Below are 20,359 nucleotides of genomic sequence, written 5' to 3' on the forward strand. Positions count from 1 at the left end.
CTCCCCAGTTCAAGCGATTCTCCTGTCTCAGCCTCTTGAGTAGCTGGAATTACAGGCACCTGCCACTAGGCCTGGCTAATATTTTTTCTTTTTTGTGTGTATTTTTAGTAGAGTCAGGGTTTCACCATGTTGGCCAGGCTGGTCTTGAACTCCTGACCTCAGGTGTTCCACCCACCTCGGCCTCCCAAAGTGCTGAGATTACAGGCGTGAGCCATTGCGCCTGGCACATTACTTCTTTAAGTGTGGTTTTCTTTAGTTCTCTGAACATGTTTGTATTAGCTTCCTTGATGTCTTTGTCTGCTGTGTTTGAGATCTGTGCTTTTGCGTTGGCGAGCCCCAGCACAAGGGTAGTTTCAGTGATTTGCAAGGACCCACAGGACTGGCGTATAATTGTACTCATGGATATGAGTTATTCCTGTGAAAGGATACAAAGCAAAATCAGCGAAGGGAAAAGATGTCTGGGGCTAAAGTTTGTTAGAGCCAGGTGCAAGCCTCCAAGTGTTCTCTTCCAAGTATGGTCACACAGGACATACCTCATTTCTCCAGGAATGCATTCTGAGAACACATATGAAGTGTTGTCTACTAGGGAAGCTCATTAGAGGCTCAGTGACCATAGCTTTTATTGGGGGCTGGTCATGCAGGCACCCTTTGCCTAGCACATAGCAAAATTCCAGGCTTGCGGAAGGAAAGCAGGTGTTCAGCACAAACCCCATTGTTTATACAGTTTAGCCACAGTGAGCCATTCTTATCAGGGAATAGTGGCAACTCTCTTGAAATCCAGGTTCTCAGATGCCAGCTAAGGGCCATCCTTGAAGGCAGGCCTTTTTAAGTATAACAGTCTTGGGCCTCAAATGTAAACTCTATATCACCTTCTCAAGGCATTTTTCTGTTACTTGCTTTTTGGTTTCTTATATGAATCTCACTTTTTTTAAAAAATACCTCATACTTTTTGCTGAAACCTACAAATTTTAGATAATATATTGCAGTGATTTCTGGATACTGCTACCCCCTCCTCTACTGTGGGGCTCATTGGTATTGTTTACTTCTTTGTTTAGTTATTTGCCAGAACTTATAGTGTTTTTTTTGTTGTTGTTGTTTTTTGGTTTTTTTTTTTTTTTTTTTTGAGACGGAGTTTTTGCTCTGTTGCCCAGGCTGGAGTGCAATGGCACGATCTCGGCTCACAGCAACCTCCGCCTCCTGGGTTCAAGCGATTCTCCTGCCTCATCCTCCAGAGTAGCTGGGATTAGAGGTGCCCGCCACCATGCCTGGCTAATTTCTGTATTTTTAGTAGAGAGGAGGTTTCACCGTGTTGGCCAGGTTGGACTCGAACTCTTGACCTCAGGTGATCCACCCGCCTCAGTCTCCCAAAGTGCTAGGATTACAGGTGTGAGCCACCGCGCCTGGCTGTGATGTGTTTTTTAACCTACAGTGTACATCCTTTGGTGTCCCTCTTTAGTGGGACAGCTTTGGGAATAAGCATAGTCACTATGGAATGATTGGTTTTAGCAGGGCTGTCTTTCAGTGTCTTTTTCTAATTTCTCTGTTAATCTGTCAGCCTCTGTTATCTCACCTAATCATTAGTTTGCACTAATTTCAGACTGATTACTCTATTGGTTTTGACCATGTCCAGGGGCATAAATTGCCTAACTATGTGATCCAAATTTGGGCCCTTTTATAGAGATAGTATTTGAGACCAACCTTTGAGGTTGGCTCAGATCCCAGGTAGGCTCTTATTTGTCTTTTTCTCTGGGTCTCTGGCTGTCTTCTAGCTGGTGTTTCTATAGCTTGTTGCTCTCAAGTAGTTACTAATCTTCTCTTAATAGCTTACCACCCAAATCTCTATTGTTATTGGGAACATCCTTAGGCTTTTTTTTCTCCCCATTGTGTTCCAAATTAAGTCATTTATTTTGGGGATACCTTCAGAACTCTGTTATTGCAGCCTGCCTTTCCCCTCGGGCAAAACCTCTGCATTGCTGCTCTGGAGCTGAGGGCAAGGAAACTGTCTCAGTTTTCCCTGTGACGCAAGCAAGGTGTTTGGCAGGGGAAGATGGCCTCTGGTTTTCCTAAATGTCACCCTAAGGTTAAGTCTTCCCTTTGTGCTATGTCTCAGAGAATGTTTCCACATTATTGTTTCTTTCTCAGTAGTGGTCCTCTTGGTGTTGCTATATGACATTTTTAGCCTGGTCACTGGTTGGCAGGAGTGTGCCCTATCTGTTGTTTTATTAATTAAGGCTTAGTTTTAGGCACCAGTGTCCTGGGGTCTCGTGGTTGTGTTATACTCAGTACTCCTGCCTCTTCCTCCTGCTGTAATTTTGGACCCATTGTGTATTTCTGCTCTTTCTTCATAGCTAATTTTTTTTTTCTCTCTATTTCATTCTCCCAGGGTCACAGTTTTTACAACTATCCTAATGGCCACAGTGTTTGTTGCCCTTCCTCCCACTGAGTAAGGACTTTGTTTTGTAGATGGAGTAGGATCTGAACAGATTTCTTTGACCTTCCCAAAACAGATTTTGTTCCCCTCTCCCAGGTGTGTACCTTGAGGGTAGTTTCTCAAGACTGTCATCAATCTTTTGTGTGATCTCTTGAATGGGTTAGTGGAGAAAATACCTGAATAGTCTGCAGACCTCTCAATTCTGTGCTGCCCCACCCTGGGCTTCATACTTACTTGCCAGTTAACACTTACCCTTTGCCAATTGACCAACCATTTTAGTTGATCTCTTACTGATGTCTGGTTGCATCTACTTTCACAGGTAAGCCGGGGGTGTGTCTCATCATTCCTTTGGGGCACCACAACTTAGATTTTGGTTGGCCCCAGTAAGACTCCTGTCTCTGGGGGATTCAAGGAAAGTTGTGAACTTCTTTCCTATTCTCCTACCCTCTTTATTTGTAAGGGTGAAAGTGATGCTCTCTCTAGCTCTCTACCTACCAGAACCAGATGATGTTTTCTAGTCTAGTCTGGTACTGTCTTTCACTTACTGTGAAGCCCCATTATATTTACTGTGATTTTCTTCATATTGTTGGATTTATATCTCTAATTTAAAAAAATGATTTGGTTTGGAATGGTTTTTTCATAATGCAATCCAAAGTATCATAGTCCCCATGGTTTCTTAGTCTTTCCCTGTTTCTCATGACCTTGACAGATTTAAAAAGTGTACTGGTTAGGTATTTGGTAGAATATTTCTCAATTTGGATTTGTCTGATATAGTCTCATGATTAAATGATATGAATTTTGGGGAAGAATACCACACAGATATACCATTCTCATAGCTTCATATCAGGATATATATGTATACATACACACACACATATACACACATATACATACATGTATACATATACGCACATATATACATATATACATATACACACGTAGACATGTATACATATACACACGTAGACATGTATACACATACACACGTAGACATGTATACACACGTAGACATGTATACACATACACACGTAGACATGTATACACACACGTAGACATAAATGCATGCATATACACACGTAGACATAAATGCATGCATATACACGCGTATACATATATGCGTGCATATACGCACGTATACATATATGCGTGCATATACGCACGTATACATATATGCGTGCATATACGCACGTATACATATATGTGTGCATATACGCACGTATACCTATATGTATGCATATACACATGTATACATATATACACACATATATGTATACATACATATATATATATATATATACACGATTTTAGCATTACTTATTACTGAGGATGTTACTCTTAATCACTTAGTTCAGGTTGCCCGGTTTCTCCACTGTAAAGTTACTGTTTTTCTGTTTCCATCCTCTATGCTTTGGAAGTGAGTTACTAAATTTAGTCCACATTTAAGGGAAGCAGAATTAACCTCCATATCTGGAGGGGTATCTACCTGTATATATGTATTTATTTTTGGGAAATTTTCTCTAAGGAAGATTTTTTTTCTCTCCCTTATTTATTTGGTCATCTGTTTCTATCATTCTGGATTCGTGAATAATTATTAATTTGTTAATTATACATAATCCCACATCTTTTTTTTGGAGCTATTGCTTACTTTCTGGTACAAGGTAGTATAGGCTTATCTTGTATTCTCCCTGCACCAGCCTTACTTTTAGCCATTTTAATAAGGAGCCCGGGTACTTTTTATTGAAAAATACATTTAGAAACCATGGTCTGAGCACTGAGTGCCCTTTTAGTTACTGAGGTAGCACTGATTCTGTACCTCCTAAACAGAAAGCTAGAAAATATATGTATGCATAGTAATGTTTGGATCTATTTAATTATTTTTACATACACATGTATGTAGCTATGTGTCCATTAAAGTAAACATGAATGTACAGTGATATCTGACTCTTATTTGAGATTAGCTCTCATACTTGCTTATTTTATTTATATATTTATTTTTTGAGACCGAGTCTTGCTCTGTTGCCCAGGCTGGAGTGCAGTGGCATGATCTCGGCTCACTGCAACCTCTGCCTCCCGGGTTCAAGTGACTCTTCTGCCTCAGCCTCCCAAGTAGCTGGGATTACAGGTGCCCATCACCACACCCAGCTAATTTTTTTTGTTTTTTTTTTTTTTTTGAGACAGAATCTTGCTCCGTCGCCCAGGCTGGAGTGCAGTGGTGCAATCTCGGCTCACTGCAACCTCTGCCTCCTGGGTTCAAGCGATTCTCCTGCTTCAGTGTCCCGAGTAGCTGGGATTACAGGCATGCGCCACGACGCAAGAAAATCACTTGAACACAGGAGGTGGAAGTTGCAGTGAGCCAAGATTGCACCACTGCACTCCAGCCTGGGCAACTGAGCAAGACTCTGTCTCCAAAAAAAAAAAAAAAACAAAACAGTCTGGGTGCTGTGGCTCACACCTGTAATCCCAGCGCTTTGGGAGGCCGAGGTGGGCAGATCATGAGGTCAGGAGATCGAGACCAGCCTGGCCAACGTGGTGAAACCTCGTCTCTACTAAAAATACAAAAAATTAGCCAGGCATAGTGGTGCGCACCTGTAATCCCAGCTACTTGAGAGGCTGAGGCAGGAGAATCGCTTGTACCCAGGAGGCGGAGGTTGCAGTGAGCAGAGATCGCACCATTGCACTCCAGCCTGGGTGACAGAGCAAGACTTAGTCTCAAAACAACAACAACAACAACAAAACTTCTTTCTCTAATAGTAAGAAAACTGAGTCCTGTTATCTATATTTACTTGTTTGTTCTACTTTACTATACATTTAAAGTGGTTTTATAACTGCCTAAGTTCCTGTAAAAATTTTATCAGTTAGCATTAATATTGTACCTTTATTACAGTTTCTAAAAATGCTCAAGTGTTTTCACATTATTCCTTGTAGATGTCATATAGTTTATCTTTTTACCTTTAGGTCCATGATCCATTTTAATTAATATTTGAATGAGCGAGGTAATATGTTGTCACTTTTTTTGGTATGTGGTCCTCTAGTTGTTTCAGCACCTTTTGTTAAAGAGATTGCAGGCCATGCACAGTAGCTCACGCCTGCAATCCCAGCACTTTGGGAGGCCGAGGCCGGCGGATCACGAAGTCAGGAGTTCGAGACCAGCTTGGCCAATATGGTGAAACCCCGTCTCTACTAAAAATACAAAAATCAGCCAAGTGTGGTGGCAGGCGCCTGTAGTCCCAGCTACTCGGGAGTCTGAGGCAGGAGAATCGCTTGAACTCGGGAAGCGGAGGTTGAAGTAAGTCGAGATGGTGCCACTGCACTCCAGCCTGGGCGACAGAGCGAGACTTGGTCTCAAAAAGAGCTTATCTTTCCTATATTGTATGGTTTTTGCATTTGTGTTGAAAATAACTAGATTTGCATGGTATTTTTCCGGACTGCTTATTCTTTTCCATTGATATTTGTATTTATTGTTTCTCCAATACCACATGGTATTACTAAGTATTTATTTTAAGTCTATAAATGAGGTAGTATGAACTTTCAACCTTTTTTATTTTTCATGATTGTTTTCGCTAATTTCTTTGCTTTTTAACTTAAATTTTTGAATAAATTTGGCAATAGCTACAAGAAGACGTTGCTGAAATTTTGGTTGGTATGTTATTGAATCTATTAGATGAAATTGGAGAGCATTTGTACCTCACTGAGTCTCCTGATTCATGAACCTAGTATTTCCTATTTATCCAGATCTTTTTTCATTTATTTCATCAATGTTTTGTAGTTTTCAGCCTATAAATCCTGACATATTTTGTTAGATTTAACAAATGATGTAAGAACTTCATTTTGGGGGTGCTGTGATTAAAATTGTGTTGTTTGTATTTTTTTCATTTCAAATTCCAGTTATTTATAGCTGCTGTTATGTGAACATGATTGATTTTTGTTTATTGGCCTTGTGTTCTGCAACCTTGTTCAACTCACCATTTTTGTTCTAAAAGGTTTTTTGTTTTTTTTTGTTTTTGTTTTTTGAGATGGAGTCTCGCGCTGTTGCCCAGGCTGGAGTGCAGTGGCACGATCTCTGCTCACTGCATCCTCCGCCTCCCAAGTTCAAGCGATTCTCCGGCCTCAGCCTCCCAAGTAGCTGGGAGTACAGGCACCCGCCACCACGCCCAGCTATTTTTTTGTATTTTTAGTAGAGACGGAATCTCACTATGTTGGCCAGGCTGGTCTTGAACTCCTGACCTTGTGATCTGCCCCCCCCCCCCCCCCCCCGCCTCCCAAAGTGCTGGATTACAGGCGTGAACCACCGTGCCCAGCCTAAAAGGTTTTTTTAAATATAGATTATTTGATATTTTCCAGACACACAATTGTTTTCTGCAAGTAAGAGTCTTTTTTTATTTCTTCCTTTGCAATGTATGTGCCCTATAATTGTTTTTCTGGCTTTATAGGCCTTCTAATACAATGTTGAATAGGGCAGGGTGGGAGGGCATACTTTACTAGTAGTTTTCCACTCTGCATGTTACCTGTAGGTCTTTCATAGATGCCCTTTATTAGGTTAAGCACCTCCATTCTATTTTTAGTTTTCTGGGAGTTTTTATTTTGAAAATATGTTGAATTTGCCAAATGCGTTTTCCTGTATTGACATGATTGTGCGGTCTTCATTAAATTATTGATACTGAATTTTATTTATTGATTGTTTTTAAATGTTGAACCAACTTTGCATTCCTTGTATGAAACCCAGCTGATTGTGATGTATTATTATTTTTTTTTTTTTTGAGACGGAATCTTGCTCTGTCACCCAGGCTGGAGTGCAGTGGCACTATCTCGCTCACTGCAAGCTCCGCCTCCTGGGTTCACGCCATTCTCCTGCCTCAGCCTCCCGAGTAGCTGGGACTACAGGTGCCCGCCACCATGCCCGGCTAATTATTTTTTGTATTTTTAGTGAGATGGGGTTTCACCGTGTCAGCCAGGATGGTCTCGATCTCCTGACCTCGTGATCCACCCGCCTTGGCCTCCCAAAGTGCTGGGATTACAGGCATGAGCCACCATGCCTGGCCTATCATTTTTTTATATTGCTGGATTTGATTTGTAAATATTTTGTTGACAAGTTTCTATTTATGCCCATTAGATTGACTTGTAGTTTCCTATTTAAATTTTTTTTAAACACTGTGTATATTATATATTTGGGGCACAGTGTGATATTTTGATATATGTTTATATCATGGAATGATTGAATCAGCCTAATTAAATCCATTACCTCACATACTTACCAGTTTTTTAATGGTGAAAACAATTAAAATCTAATCTATTAGCAATTATGAAAAATGCAGTACATTATTATTTATTATACTCACCATTGTGTGCAGTAGATCAACATCTCCCCTTTCCCCGTCCACCTCACTTTTCCAGTCACTGGTAACCACTATTCTACTCTATGTCTATGAGTTTGACTTTCTTAGATTCTACATATAAGTGAGATCTTGTGGTATTTGTCTTTTGGTGCCTGGCTTTTTTCACTCACATGATGTCCTCCAGGTTTATCCATGTTGTCACAAATAACAGGATTTCCTTCTTTTTTAAGGCTGAATAGTATTCTGTTATGTACGTATATCATATTTTCTTTATTCATTTATCTGATGATGGACATGTAAGTTGCTCCTATATCTTAGCTATTGCAAATAATGATGTAATGAACACAAGAGTGCAGATATCTCTTTGACATACTGATTTCAATTCCTTTGGATATGTACCCAAAAGGGAGATTGTTGAATTATCTGTAAATTTATTTTTAGTTTTTTGAGGAACCTGTACTGTTTTCCATAATGGCTATATTAATTGACATTCTTCACCAACTGCACAAGGATTCCCTTTTGTACACAACCTCACCAACACTTAACATCTTTTTTGTTTTTGGTAATAGCCATGCTAACAGGTATGAGGTGATACTTCATTGTGGTTTTAATTTGCAAGTGATAATGAACAGTTTTTCATATGTCCATTGACCATTTGTATGTTTTCTTTTGAGAAATGTATGTTTAGGTCCCTTGCCCATTTTTAAATTGGGTTCTTGGTTTTCTTGCTATTGAATTGTTGGAGTTCCATATATTTTGAATATTAGCTCATTATTTCATATGTGATTTGCAAATATTTTATCCCAGTTTGTGGGTTGTTGCTTTACTCAATTGTTTCCTTTGCTGTGTAGTTAACTTTTTAGTTTGATGCAATCCCATTTTAAATTAAAATTTTTGTTTTAGTTGTCTGTGCTTTTGGAGGTCATATTTATGAAATCTTTGCACAGACCAATGTTGTGGAGCATTTTCCCTATGTTTTATTCTAGTAGTTTTACAGTTTCTGGTCTAATGTCTTTAATTCATTTTGAGTTCTTTTCTGTATATGGTATGAGACAAAGGTCTGATTTGATTCTTCTATATGTGGATATACAACTTTCCCAACACCATTTACTGAAGAGGCTGTCCTTTCTCCATTGTACGTTCTTGGTACCTTTGTCAAAAGCCACTTTAACGTAAATGTCTGGGTTTATTTGTAATTCTCATTTGTTGTAATGTTTTTCTCTGCTTTTGTGATCAGGGTAATGCTAGCCTCGTAATTGGAATATGTTTTCTCCCCTTCTATTTAATGAACTAATTGTGTAGAATTGATATTGTTTCTTCCTTGATTGTTTGGTAGAATCCACCATTGAAACCATGTAGGCCTACAGTTTTTATCTTTAGGAGGTTTATAACTTTCAATTTAACTTATTTACTAGAAATAGAGCTATTCAGGTTTTCTTGGCAAATTTTGGTAGTCTGTGTCTTTCACATAATCATTCCATTTCATGTAACTTAGCAAATTCATAGGCATAGAATTGTATTCCTTCATTATCCTCTTAATGTCTTTGGCATCATTTTATGGTACTGATGATTTATATCTTCTCTATTTCTGTGAGCCTGGCTAGAGGTTGTTCAGTTTTGTCAGTGTTGTCAAATAATCAGCTTTTTTTTTTTTTTTTTTTGAGACAGAGTCTTGCTCTTGTCGCCCAGGCTGGAGTGCAATGGCATGATCTCGGCTCACTGCAACCTCCACCTCCTGGGTTCAAGCGATTCTTCTGCCTCAGCCTCCGGAGTAGCTGGGATTACAGGCGCCCGCCACCACACCCGGCTAATTTTTGTATTTTTAGTAGAGATGGGGTTTCGCCATGTTGGCCAGGCTGGTCTCGAACTCCTGACCTCAGGTGATCCACCTGCCTTGGCCTCCCAAAGTGCTGGGATTACAGGCATGAGCCACCGTGCCCAGCCTCAGCTTTTGGTTTTATTGATTTCTTTCTTTTGTATGTTTCTGTTTTTTCGTTTTTTGTTTTGGATTCCTGCTCTCAATGTTTATTATTCCCTTTCTTCATCTTGCTTTATATTTACTTTGCTCTTCTTTCTCTGGTTCCTTTGAGACAAACTTTGGTTACTGACTTTAGATATTATTTTTTAATGTATATATTGAATGCTATAAACTTCCCTGTTAACACTGCTTTGTCTGCATCCTATATGTTTTGATATATTGTATTTATATTGTTCTTTAGTTCAATCCATGTTTTAATTTCTCATGAGACTTTGTTTGTTACCTATGTGTTATTTGAAAGTTTCTTGTTTCATATCCAATTGTTTGAGGGAATTTTCCAGATTTTTTTTTTTCATTTCTAATTTGTATGATCTCAGGATGCACCTTGTATTTTTTTCTATGTTTAAATAATTAATTGAGGTTTATTTAATAAGCCAAAACATGATCTGTCTTTGTGAATGCTACATATAATTGAGAAGAATATGTATTCTGTTGTTGCTTAAAGTGTTCTATCATTATATGAAGTTGTTTGATAGTAATGTTCAGGCCTTCCATATCATTTGTGATTTTTTACTTGTTTTATTAATTTCTTAGCAGTGTTCAAATCTCAAACTAATTTTAGATATGCCTACTTGTTTTTTCATACCTCATTTATTGTCTTATTCATTTTGAAAACCTTTGATTAGGTGCGTATACCTATAAGATTATTATGTGTTCTTGGGGAAATAACTGTCTTTTCATGAGGTTTCTCTTTATCCTTTGATAATCTTTCCTGTTCTGATGTCTATTTTGTTTCATATTAATAAATATTTTCAACCTATTTCTTTGGTTAGTGTTTTATGCTGTATCTTTCTCCACCCTTGTACTTTTAATCATTGTATGCCTTTATAGTTTGTGTATGTATGTATTTCACAGTAAGTAGGTGGGTGGTTGGGTTTTTAGGTAGGTAAGTAGGCTAAATAGATAGGTGGGTTGGCTTGTGTTTTATTCCATGTGACAGTGTTCATCCTTTTACTGGTGGTGTTTAGACCATTACAATTTAAAAAAAAACTTTATTTGGGCAAAACTTATATAATTTACTCATTTTAAGGGTACAATTAAATTATTTTTAGTAAATTTAGTGAGTTCTGCAACTAACACCATTATTCCAGTTTTGTAATGTTTTTACCACCCCAGTAACATTTTTCATACCACTTTACAGTTAACCTTTGTTCCCATCCTCACCCCCAGGCAAATACTAATCTACTTTCATCTATGTTGATTTGCCCTTTCTGGACCTTCCATACAATTAGAATCATATAACATATAGTATTTTATGTCTCAGTTCTTTTACATGGGTTAATTATTTTGAGGTTTGTCTATATTATTATATGTATCAGCCTTTCATTTAGTTTATTTGTAAATAATATTCAATTGTGTCAATATGTCTCATTTTCTTTCTCCATTAAACACTTGATGGGAATTTAAGTAGTTTCTGTGTTTTGGCAATTATCAATTATGCGTCTGTTGACATTCATGTGGAAATATTTAAGCGGACGTGCTTTCATTTCTCTTATGTAGGATTTTTTGGATAATATGGTAATTTGACTTTTTAAGAATCTGGCAAACTCTTTTCCAAAGTGACTGTACTACATTACATTCCTATCAGCAATATATGAGGGTTAGTGATTTTCTACATATTTGTCTACATTTATTACTGTCTTTTATTAAAACCATTTTTGTGAAAGTAAAATTATCTCATTGTGGTTTTATTGCATTTCCTTAATGACTAATGGAGTAGGAAATATTTCATGTTCTTATTAGCCATTCTTCTTTGGTGAAATGTGTATTTAAATCTTTTGCATAATTTTTAAATCTGGCAATAGAAGTTGTCCAAATCTGTACTTTTGTCTGTTCAGGGTCTTTTGCATTTTTATGTGAATTTTAGAATAAACTTGTTAATTTCTGAAAAAAGCCTGCTGTTATTTTGATAGGGAATGTAATGAATCTATATAGATTAGTTTTGGGAGAATTACCATCTTAGCTATAATAACGCATCTTTTTTTTTTTTTTTTTTCTTCTGAGATGGATTCTTGCTCTGTTACCCAGGCTGGAGTACAGTGGCACGATCTTGACTCACTGCAAATCCCACCTCCCGGGTTCAAGCAATTCTCCTGCTTCAGCCTCCCGAGTAGCTGGGATTACTGGTGCCCATCACTGCACCCAGCTCATTTTTTTGTACTTTTAGTGGAGACAGGGTTTTACCATGTTGGCCAGGCTGGTCTTGAACTCCTGACCTCATGATCCACCCGCCTCGGCCTCCCAAAGTGCTGGGATTACAGACGTGAGCCACTGCGCCCAGCCAATAACGCATCTTAAACATGAAATATCTCCCCATTTATTTTGGTCTTTTAAAATTTTCTTCAACAACATTGTGTAGCTTTCTTTATACAAATCTTGCAGGTGTTTTGTTGAATTATTCCTAAAGATTTAGTCTTTTTGGTGCTATTTTGTATGGAATTGATTTCTTAATTTCATTTTTGGATCATTCATTGCTAGTATGAAAACAGAACAATTTATTATATAGGTTTTTTGTTTTTTTTTTTTTTTTTAGATGGAGTTTTTGCTCTTGTTGCCCAGGCTGGAGTGCAGTGGTGGATATTGGCTCACTGCAACCTCTGTCTTCTGGGTTCAAGCAATTCTCCTGCCTTCTGAGTAGCTAAGTATTACAGGCGCCCACCACCACGCCTGGCTAATTTTTTTGTATTTTTAGTAGAGATGGGATTTCATCACGTTGGCCAGGCTGGTCTTGAACTGCTGACCTCAGGTGATCCACCCACCTCAGCCTTCCAAAGTGCTGGGATTACAGGTGTGAGCCACCGCACCCAGCCTATAGGTTTGTATTCTACAGCCAACTCTTCTCAGAGGAAGTATAGATAGATATGTATACTAACCCATGTATAGCTACATATTTATACACATTTTTATATGTAACTATCGATTTTTTTAAGTTAAATGTGAGTTCATACTGGTATTTCTAACTAATCCATTACCACATGGTTAATTCTAGTCATATCTCCTTGTTTGTCTGTCCTCACTCTCTCACTCCAATAGGAAAGAGCCTGTCTCCTAACATTTACCATTCATTTACATAATTGTACTATCCCATTATACAGGTATAACTGTTTCAGAATTGTTGATTTTTACCCTTACTGGAAACAACTCTATCAACTGGAGTATAATGCTTATGTATAGCTTCTTTTGCATTTAGTCTTACAGACTCCACTTATTAATGGTGAGAGACTGGACATACTGCTCAGATCGGGAACAATGCAAAGATGTCCTCTCTCACCACTCCTAATACAAGAAAAGGAAATATAGACTGGAAGGGAAAAAATAAATCTTTATTTGTAGATTATAAGATTGTCTACATAGACGTTTTTAGAGCATCTCCAGAAACCTAGAACTAACAAATGGGAGTAAGAAGGACACAAGGTATTACAGTTACTTTTCATTTTCTGTTAGTTTTGGCATCTCATATTTAAGTCTGGTTTTCAAGATTGCATTCTTTTCAGATGGTATTTTTTTCTTTGTTTTTGTATACATTATAATGTTGAGAGTCAAACATATAAAGTAGTAGATACTGAGGTATATATATGTATTTTCTTTGCGATAAGCACACCTTTCCTTCATCTAGGCTATTAGCGTGGAGGTTTTTGTGAAATTAGTCAGGAGTTGGTCTGGGATTGAAGTTTTGTTGTTACCATGGTTACTCTCTGTGTATCAGAAACTTCAAACCCTATAATGATACCTTGTTTTTGTGTCCTTGTTTGGCGTGGGTTTTCACCTTTTCACTCTTCTCTAGAGAAGGCCTGTGGTTTTCAGCTTTCCCCTGTGCATTACTTTAATTTTATTTGATGTTTAGTCTGTGGTTGGGGCGAAAAAGAGGCATGTTCTCTAATGTTCTAATTTAAACTCAGTCTTAAGTAGGCACTGTGAATCTGGGTCTTGTGGGTGTGGCTGTCATAAGTCTTTCTTTTCCAGTCAATGCCTAGTATTTATTCCCATTCCTCCCCTATGGCTAAAGCTTTATGTGTTCCTTACCTCCTTACCCAGCCCCTGTTGCTTCCACTCCAGGGTGTCCCTGCAAATTGCTCTAAGGTTTTTGCTTCTTAGGCGAGATAGGAGACGGGCCTCTGGGGAATTTTGGTCTGCTTTATATTCCCTTCCACTGCTTCATGATCTTTTCTGTAAATGAAGAACTTTTTTTGGTGGGGCGTGGTGGTTCACGCCTGTAATCCCATCACTTTGGGAGGCCGAGGCGGGCGGATCACCTGAGGTCAGGAGTTTGAGACCAGCCTGACCAACATGGAGAAACCCTGTCTCTACTTAAAATACAAAATTAGCTGGGTGTGGTGGTGCATGCCTGTAATCCCAGCTACTCAGAAGGCTGAGGCAGGAGAGTCACTTGAACCCGGGAGGTGGAGGTTGCGGTGAGCCGAGATCGCGCCATTGCACTCCAGCCTGGGCAACAAGAGCGAAACTTTTTTTTTTTTTAAGAAAGGTAGATTGGGGCAGATTTTCAGCCATAGCTGCTACTCCTTTCCCCCAGATAGTACCAAAGGGGTCTTTCTCTGTGATCTCTGATCTTTCCTGTGGCTTCCTATTGATAACAGCTGCAGGTGGCTGCAACCCCACCCCCATATTTGAAACCTGAGGGGATTCCTATTCTCAGGCCAGCCCACACTTGGCCTTTAGCAATTTATTGTAATTTCTAGTTAAATCTTTCTACCTGCTTTTATATTGATTTTCATGGCATTTGTCCCAGTAATCAAATGCTCAGATTCTGTTTTCCCCTGCAGGCACCTACCATTTTTTTAGATTTCTGTATTTTTTTTTTTCCTGTAACTTCAGTTCTCTGATAGGGTCAAGAAAATCATAACTTTGCTTTTGTCAAGCCTTTTCTAAGTGAGGTAGTGATGTTGTTTCTAGTGCCCTATATATTTGAGATTTGTTGTCTTTGTTATTTTTGTTTATTTCTGTTTCTTATTTTTTCTTCTGTATCATTTGAACATTTTTTAGTATTTTATTTTATTTATTTATTTTTTTTTGAGATGGAGTTTCGCTCTTGTCGCCCAGGCTGGAATGCAGTGGTGTGATCCCAGCTCACTGCAACCTCCGCCTCCCGGGTTCAAGCGATTCTCCTGCCTCAGACTCCCAAGTAGCTGGGGTTACAGGTGCCCGCCACTATGCCTGGCTCATTATTTTTATGTTCAGTAGAGACGGGGTTTCACCATGTTGGTCAGGCTTGTTTTGAACTCCTGACCTCAGGTGATCCACCTGCCTTGGCCTCCCAAAGTGCTGGGATTACAGGCGTGAGCCACCGCGCCCAGGCTTTAATATTCCATTTTAATTATCTTTATTTATTTATTTATTTTGAGACAGAGTCTCGCTCTGTTGCTCAGGCTGGAGTGCAAATGGCACAATCTCAGCTCACTGCAACCCCCGCCTCCTGGGTTCAAGCACTTCTTCTGCCTCAGGCTCATGAGTAGCTGAGACTAACTACAGGTGCATGCCATCACGCCCAGCTAATTTTTGTATTTTCAGTAGAGGCAGGGTTTTGCTATGTTGGCCAGGGTAGTCTCGAACTCCTGACCTCAGGTAATCTGCCTGCCTCGGCCTCCCAAAGTGCTGGGATTATAGGCATGAGCCACCGTGCCCGGTCTTAATTATCTTTTATACATTCGAATTGTCTCATAAATACATATCTAACAGTTTATGTAGATTCAGTGTTTTACCACTTCAGGTAAAACATAGAAGCCTTACATCCATATAAAGCTCTTTATACTCCCTCACTGATTCTTTAAGTAGTTGCCATGTGTTTTACATTTGCATTGTGTTTCTGCTTTCAGGAGTCATACATATTTTAAAGAACTTAAGAGGAGAAAAATAGTCTTTTATATTTACTCAGTAATTTACCACTTCTTTTTTTTTTTTTTAAACCAGTTCTTTGTTCTCTCATTTTTAAAGATCTAAGCTTTCCCTGGGTATCATTTCCCTTCAGACTAAAGAACTCCCTTTATCATTTAATCAGCACTCTGCTTGAGGTGAATTGTCTTAATTTCCCTTCATCTAGGAATGTGTTCATTTCACCTTCATTCCTGAAAGACATTTTCAATCACTGGATATAGAATTGTTAATTGATGGGATTTTTTTCTTGTTGCTCTTTAAAGTTATTTTTCTACTACTGTCCTTCATCGTTTCTGATAAAAAATTTGCCGTCGTTTGAATCATTGCTTCCTCAGATGTAATGTGCTGTTTTTTTAATAGCTGCTTTCAAATTTTTTCCTTTGTCTTTGATTTTCAACAGTTTATAGTATTTCTGGGTGTGTCTTTTCAGTTTATATTGTTTGGTTTTGCTGAAGTTGTTTAATATGTAGATTTATCTTTTATCAGATTGGGAAGTTTTTGGCTGTTATTTCTACAAACTTTTTTTCTGCATGATTTTTTTTTCTCATTCTGAGACTATGATGACATGTATATTAGATATTGTGATATTGTTCCATAGGTCCTGAGGTGCTGTTTGTTCTGTTTCAATCTATTTTTTATTTATTTATTTATTTTATTATTTTTTTTGAGACGGAGTCTTGCTCTGTCGCCCAGGCTGGAGTGCAGTGGCATGATCTCAGCTTACTGCAAGCTCCGCCTCTCGGGTTCACGCCATTCTCCTGCCTCAGCCTCCCAAGTAGCTGGGAGTACAGGCACCTGCCACCATGCCCAGCTAATTTTTTTGTATTTTTAGTAGAGACGGGGTTTCACCATGTTAGCCAGGATGGTCTTGATCTCCTGACCTCGTGATCCGCCCGCCTCAGCCTCCCAAAGTGCTGGGATTACAGGCTTGAGCCACCGCGCCTGGCTCAATCTATTTTTTAATTCTATTTTTCAGATTGGGTAATTTCTGTTGATCTGTCTTCAAATTCTGTTTCATGTTCCTGGCTGCATTCTGTTATTGAGATCTTCAGTGGATATTTTTTATTGTGAATGTTGTATGTTTTCATTAAAAAAACTCAATTTGGTTCTTTAAGTGTTATTAAGGTATAATATCATACCATAAAATTATCTATTGTAAGTATACAATTCACCTAGTTTTAGTAAACTTATGGCTTGAAGTTGTCATCATAATCCAGTTTAGAACATTTCATTATTTCCAAAAGTTTCCTCAAGTCACTTCTGCTCCCATCCCAGGCTACCGTGATATCCTCTGTCTGTAAGTTTACCCTTTCTAGACATTTCATGTAAATGAAATCGTACGATATTTATTCCGTTGAATCTGACCTCCTTCATTTATTAAAATGTTTCTGAGATTTAGTCATGTGGTAGCATTAATAAGTATTTCATTCCTTTTTAGAGCTGAATGTTGTTCAGTTTTACTAATGTCACATTTTGTTTCTCCATGCAGCACTTGACTGAAAGTTGGATTGTTTCCTTTTTTTGGTGGTGGGGGGGGGCTATTATGATGAATAAACATTGCTGTGAACATTAATGTAAATGTCCTAGTATATTTTCTTTTCTATTCTGTAGATTCTTTGGAATAGAATAGCTGGGTTGTACAGCAAATATTTATTCAGCTTTTAAAGAAACTACCAAACTGATTTCCAATGTGGATATACTATTTTACATTTTCACCAGCAATGTATGAGTTAACATTTCTCCACATCATCACTTGTTATTACCTGATTATAGCCATTCTAATTGGTGTGAAGTAGTATCTCATTATGATTTTGTTTTGCATTTTCTTAAACTGTATGAGATTGAGCATCTTTTCATTTGCTTATTGGTCATTTGTATGTCTTTGATGAAATATCTATTTAAATCTTTTCTCCATTTAAAGTTATTTTCTTATTGCATTGTAAGAGTTCTTTATATGTATTTTGTACTCAAGTGTTTTATCAGAAATATGATTTACATATTTTTTCTCAGTCTGTAGCTTGTCTTTTTATTTTCTTAATGGTGTCATTTGAAGTGCTAAAATTTTTAATTTTCGTGAAGTCCATTACATCAGTTATTTTCTGTGTCTCATTTTTCATAAGTTTTATACTCTGTTGATTAGTTTTAAAGTAAGTTTTAAAGTTGGGTAGTGACAGATCTCCTACTTTGTTGTTTTTCAAAATTATTTCAGGTGATCCACATTCTTTGCATTTAAAATGAGCTTGCAATTTTCTACAAAAAAAGCCTTCTGGGATTTTGATAGGGATTGTATTGAATTTATAGATCAACATGATGAGACGTGCCTTCATAATTATATATTGCATTGTCAAATCCATGAACAAGGATTTTCATATATTTTCATCCATTTATATATCTACTTCAATTTCTCCATGCAATATTTTGCAGTTTTTAATGTATAAATCTTTCTCTTCTTTTGTTAAATTTATTCTTAAGTATTTTACTCTTTTTGATGCTATTCAGAATAGAGTTCTCTTAATTTCAGTTTATTGCTAGTATATAGATATATAGTTGATTTTAATCTTGTATCCGATTACTTCCTTAAACTTTGTTATAGTAGTTTTACTGTGAAATTCTTAGGTTAAGAATAAGGATTTCATAATAGAACTACAAATAGGATCATTTCATATGCAAATAAGGACAATTTTATTTCTTCTCCAATCTCATTGTCTTTAATTTTTTTTCCTTATTTACTGCCTAGAACTCCTAGTACAGCGTTGACTAGAAGTGGTGAGAAAGCTGGCACAGTGGCTCATGCAAGTAATCCCAGCGCTTTGGGAGGCCAGGGCGGGTGGATCGCTTGAGTCCAGGAGTTCAAGACTACCCTGGGCAACATGGCGAAACCCTGTCTCTACAAAAAAAAAATATATAGTAGCCAGGCATGGTGGCATGCGCCTGTAGTCCCAGCTGCCAGGGAGGCTGAGGTGGGAGGATTACTTGAGTCTGGGAAGTCAAGGCTGCAGTGAGCCATGATTGTGCCACTGCACTCCAGCCTGGGCAACAGAGACCCCGTCTCAAAGAAAAACAAACAACTCCCCCCCCACCACACACAAAAGGAGTGGTGAGAATGGGAATCTATGTCTTATTCCCATCTTCTGGAGAAAGTAAAGCATTAAGTCTTTCTCCATTAAGAATGACGTTAGTTATAGGTTTTTGTTATTGTTGTCTTATAGGTTTCTTTTGTTAGATTAAGTAAGTTCTTTTTCATTCTCACTTTTAGGAGAGTTTTAAAGCCTTGAATGGGTTTTCAGTTTAGTCAAATGCTATTTTTATGTCCATCGAGGTGATAATATATATATTTTAAATGTAATATATTGAACTGCATTGATTGAATTTTGAGTTATGAAACAGGCCTACATTTTATGATAAACCCTACTTTCTCATGATATAATTTATCCAATTTGCATATTGTTGGATTAGATTTCCTAATATTTTGTTAAGAATTGTTGCATTTGAGTCAACTTAGGTACCCAAATGGTTGGCTAGATAAAATGTGGTATATTTATATCATGTAATACTATACAGCCATAAAAAATGAAACCATGTCCTTTGCAGCAACATGGATATAGCTGGAGACCTTTATCCTAAGCATATTAATGCAGGAACGGAAAAGCAAATACCCCATGTTCTCCCTTATTCATGAGAACTAAACATGAGTACACATGTTCACATAAATGTCTAATGTGAACAATAGACACCAGGGCCTACTCAAGAGAGGGTGGTGGAAGGAGGGTGAAGATCAAAAAACTACCTATTGGGTACTATGCTCACTACCTGGGTGATTAAATAATTTGTACACCAAACCCCAGTGACACAGAATTTACCCATGTAACAAAACTGCACATGTATACCTTGAAACCAAAATAAAAGTTGAAAAAAAAAAAAAAACCACCCATGGATTGTTGCATTTATCTTCATGAGGAAGATTGGAATGTGATTTCCTTTTCTTATAATGTCTTTATGAGGTTTTAGTATCACGGTGTTTATGGCCACATTAAAATGAGTAGGACAGTAAGTAATACCTCTTCAGTTTTCTGTAATGATTTTTTTAGAATCCATATTTTATTTTATTTTATTTTTTTGAGACGGAGTCTTGCTTTGTTGCCCAAGCTGGAGTGCAGTGGCGTGATCTCGGCTCACTGCAACCTCTGCCGCCTCGTTTCAAGCGATTCTCCCTGCCTCAGTCTCCCAAGTAGCTGGGATTGCTGGTGTGCGCCACCACATCCAGCTAATTTTTTTTGTATGTTTAGTAGAGATGGGGTTTCACCATGTTGGCCAGGCTGGTCTGGAACTCCTGACCTCAGATCATCCGCCCACCTCGACCTCCCAAAGTGCTGGGATTACAGGTGTGAGCCACTGCATCCGGCCTAGAATCCATATTTTTTAATCCTTGAATGTTTTGGTAGAATTCACTTGTGAATTTATCAGTGAAACAGCTTGGTCTGTTGTTTTCCTTATGGAAGTTTTAAAATTACTAATTCTATGTCATTAATGGATATATGAATATTCAGGTTATATGTAGATATATTTGTTGTTGTTGTGTTGTTTTGTTTTGTTTTTTGAGATGAAGTCTCGTTCTTGTCCCCCAGGCTGGAGTGCAATGGCGCCATCTCGTCTCACTGCAACTTCCGC

The 20,359-nt window shown here is 38.0% G+C and overlaps 1 long non-coding RNA gene across 1 annotated transcript in view, besides 3 other annotated features; it reads left to right on the forward strand.

The window, feature by feature from the left end:
• Window positions 1-20,359, forward strand: part of JPX (JPX transcript, XIST activator) — a 126,061-nt gene that overhangs the window by 19,804 nt on the left and 85,898 nt on the right. The window lies entirely within an intron of this gene.
• Window positions 1,234-1,798: an enhancer, noted in NCBI's record as "OCT4-NANOG-H3K27ac-H3K4me1 hESC enhancer chrX:73185196-73185760 (GRCh37/hg19 assembly coordinates)". NCBI's record gives its function as "activates a minimal SCP1, AML or CMV promoter by ChIP-STARR-seq in primed H9 embryonic stem cells {active_cell/tissue: H9 hESC(primed)}" and the evidence as "EXISTENCE:reporter gene assay evidence [ECO:0000049][PMID:30033119]".
• Window positions 2,365-2,928: an enhancer, noted in NCBI's record as "NANOG-H3K27ac hESC enhancer chrX:73186327-73186890 (GRCh37/hg19 assembly coordinates)". NCBI's record gives its function as "activates a minimal SCP1, AML or CMV promoter by ChIP-STARR-seq in primed H9 embryonic stem cells {active_cell/tissue: H9 hESC(primed)}" and the evidence as "EXISTENCE:reporter gene assay evidence [ECO:0000049][PMID:30033119]".
• Window positions 13,463-14,022: an enhancer, noted in NCBI's record as "NANOG-H3K27ac hESC enhancer chrX:73197425-73197984 (GRCh37/hg19 assembly coordinates)". NCBI's record gives its function as "activates a minimal SCP1, AML or CMV promoter by ChIP-STARR-seq in naive and primed H9 embryonic stem cells {active_cell/tissue: H9 hESC(naive and primed)}" and the evidence as "EXISTENCE:reporter gene assay evidence [ECO:0000049][PMID:30033119]".

This window comes from Homo sapiens, chromosome X, assembly GCF_000001405.40.
Source record: "Homo sapiens chromosome X, GRCh38.p14 Primary Assembly".
Classification (NCBI taxonomy): Eukaryota; Metazoa; Chordata; class Mammalia; order Primates; family Hominidae; genus Homo; species Homo sapiens.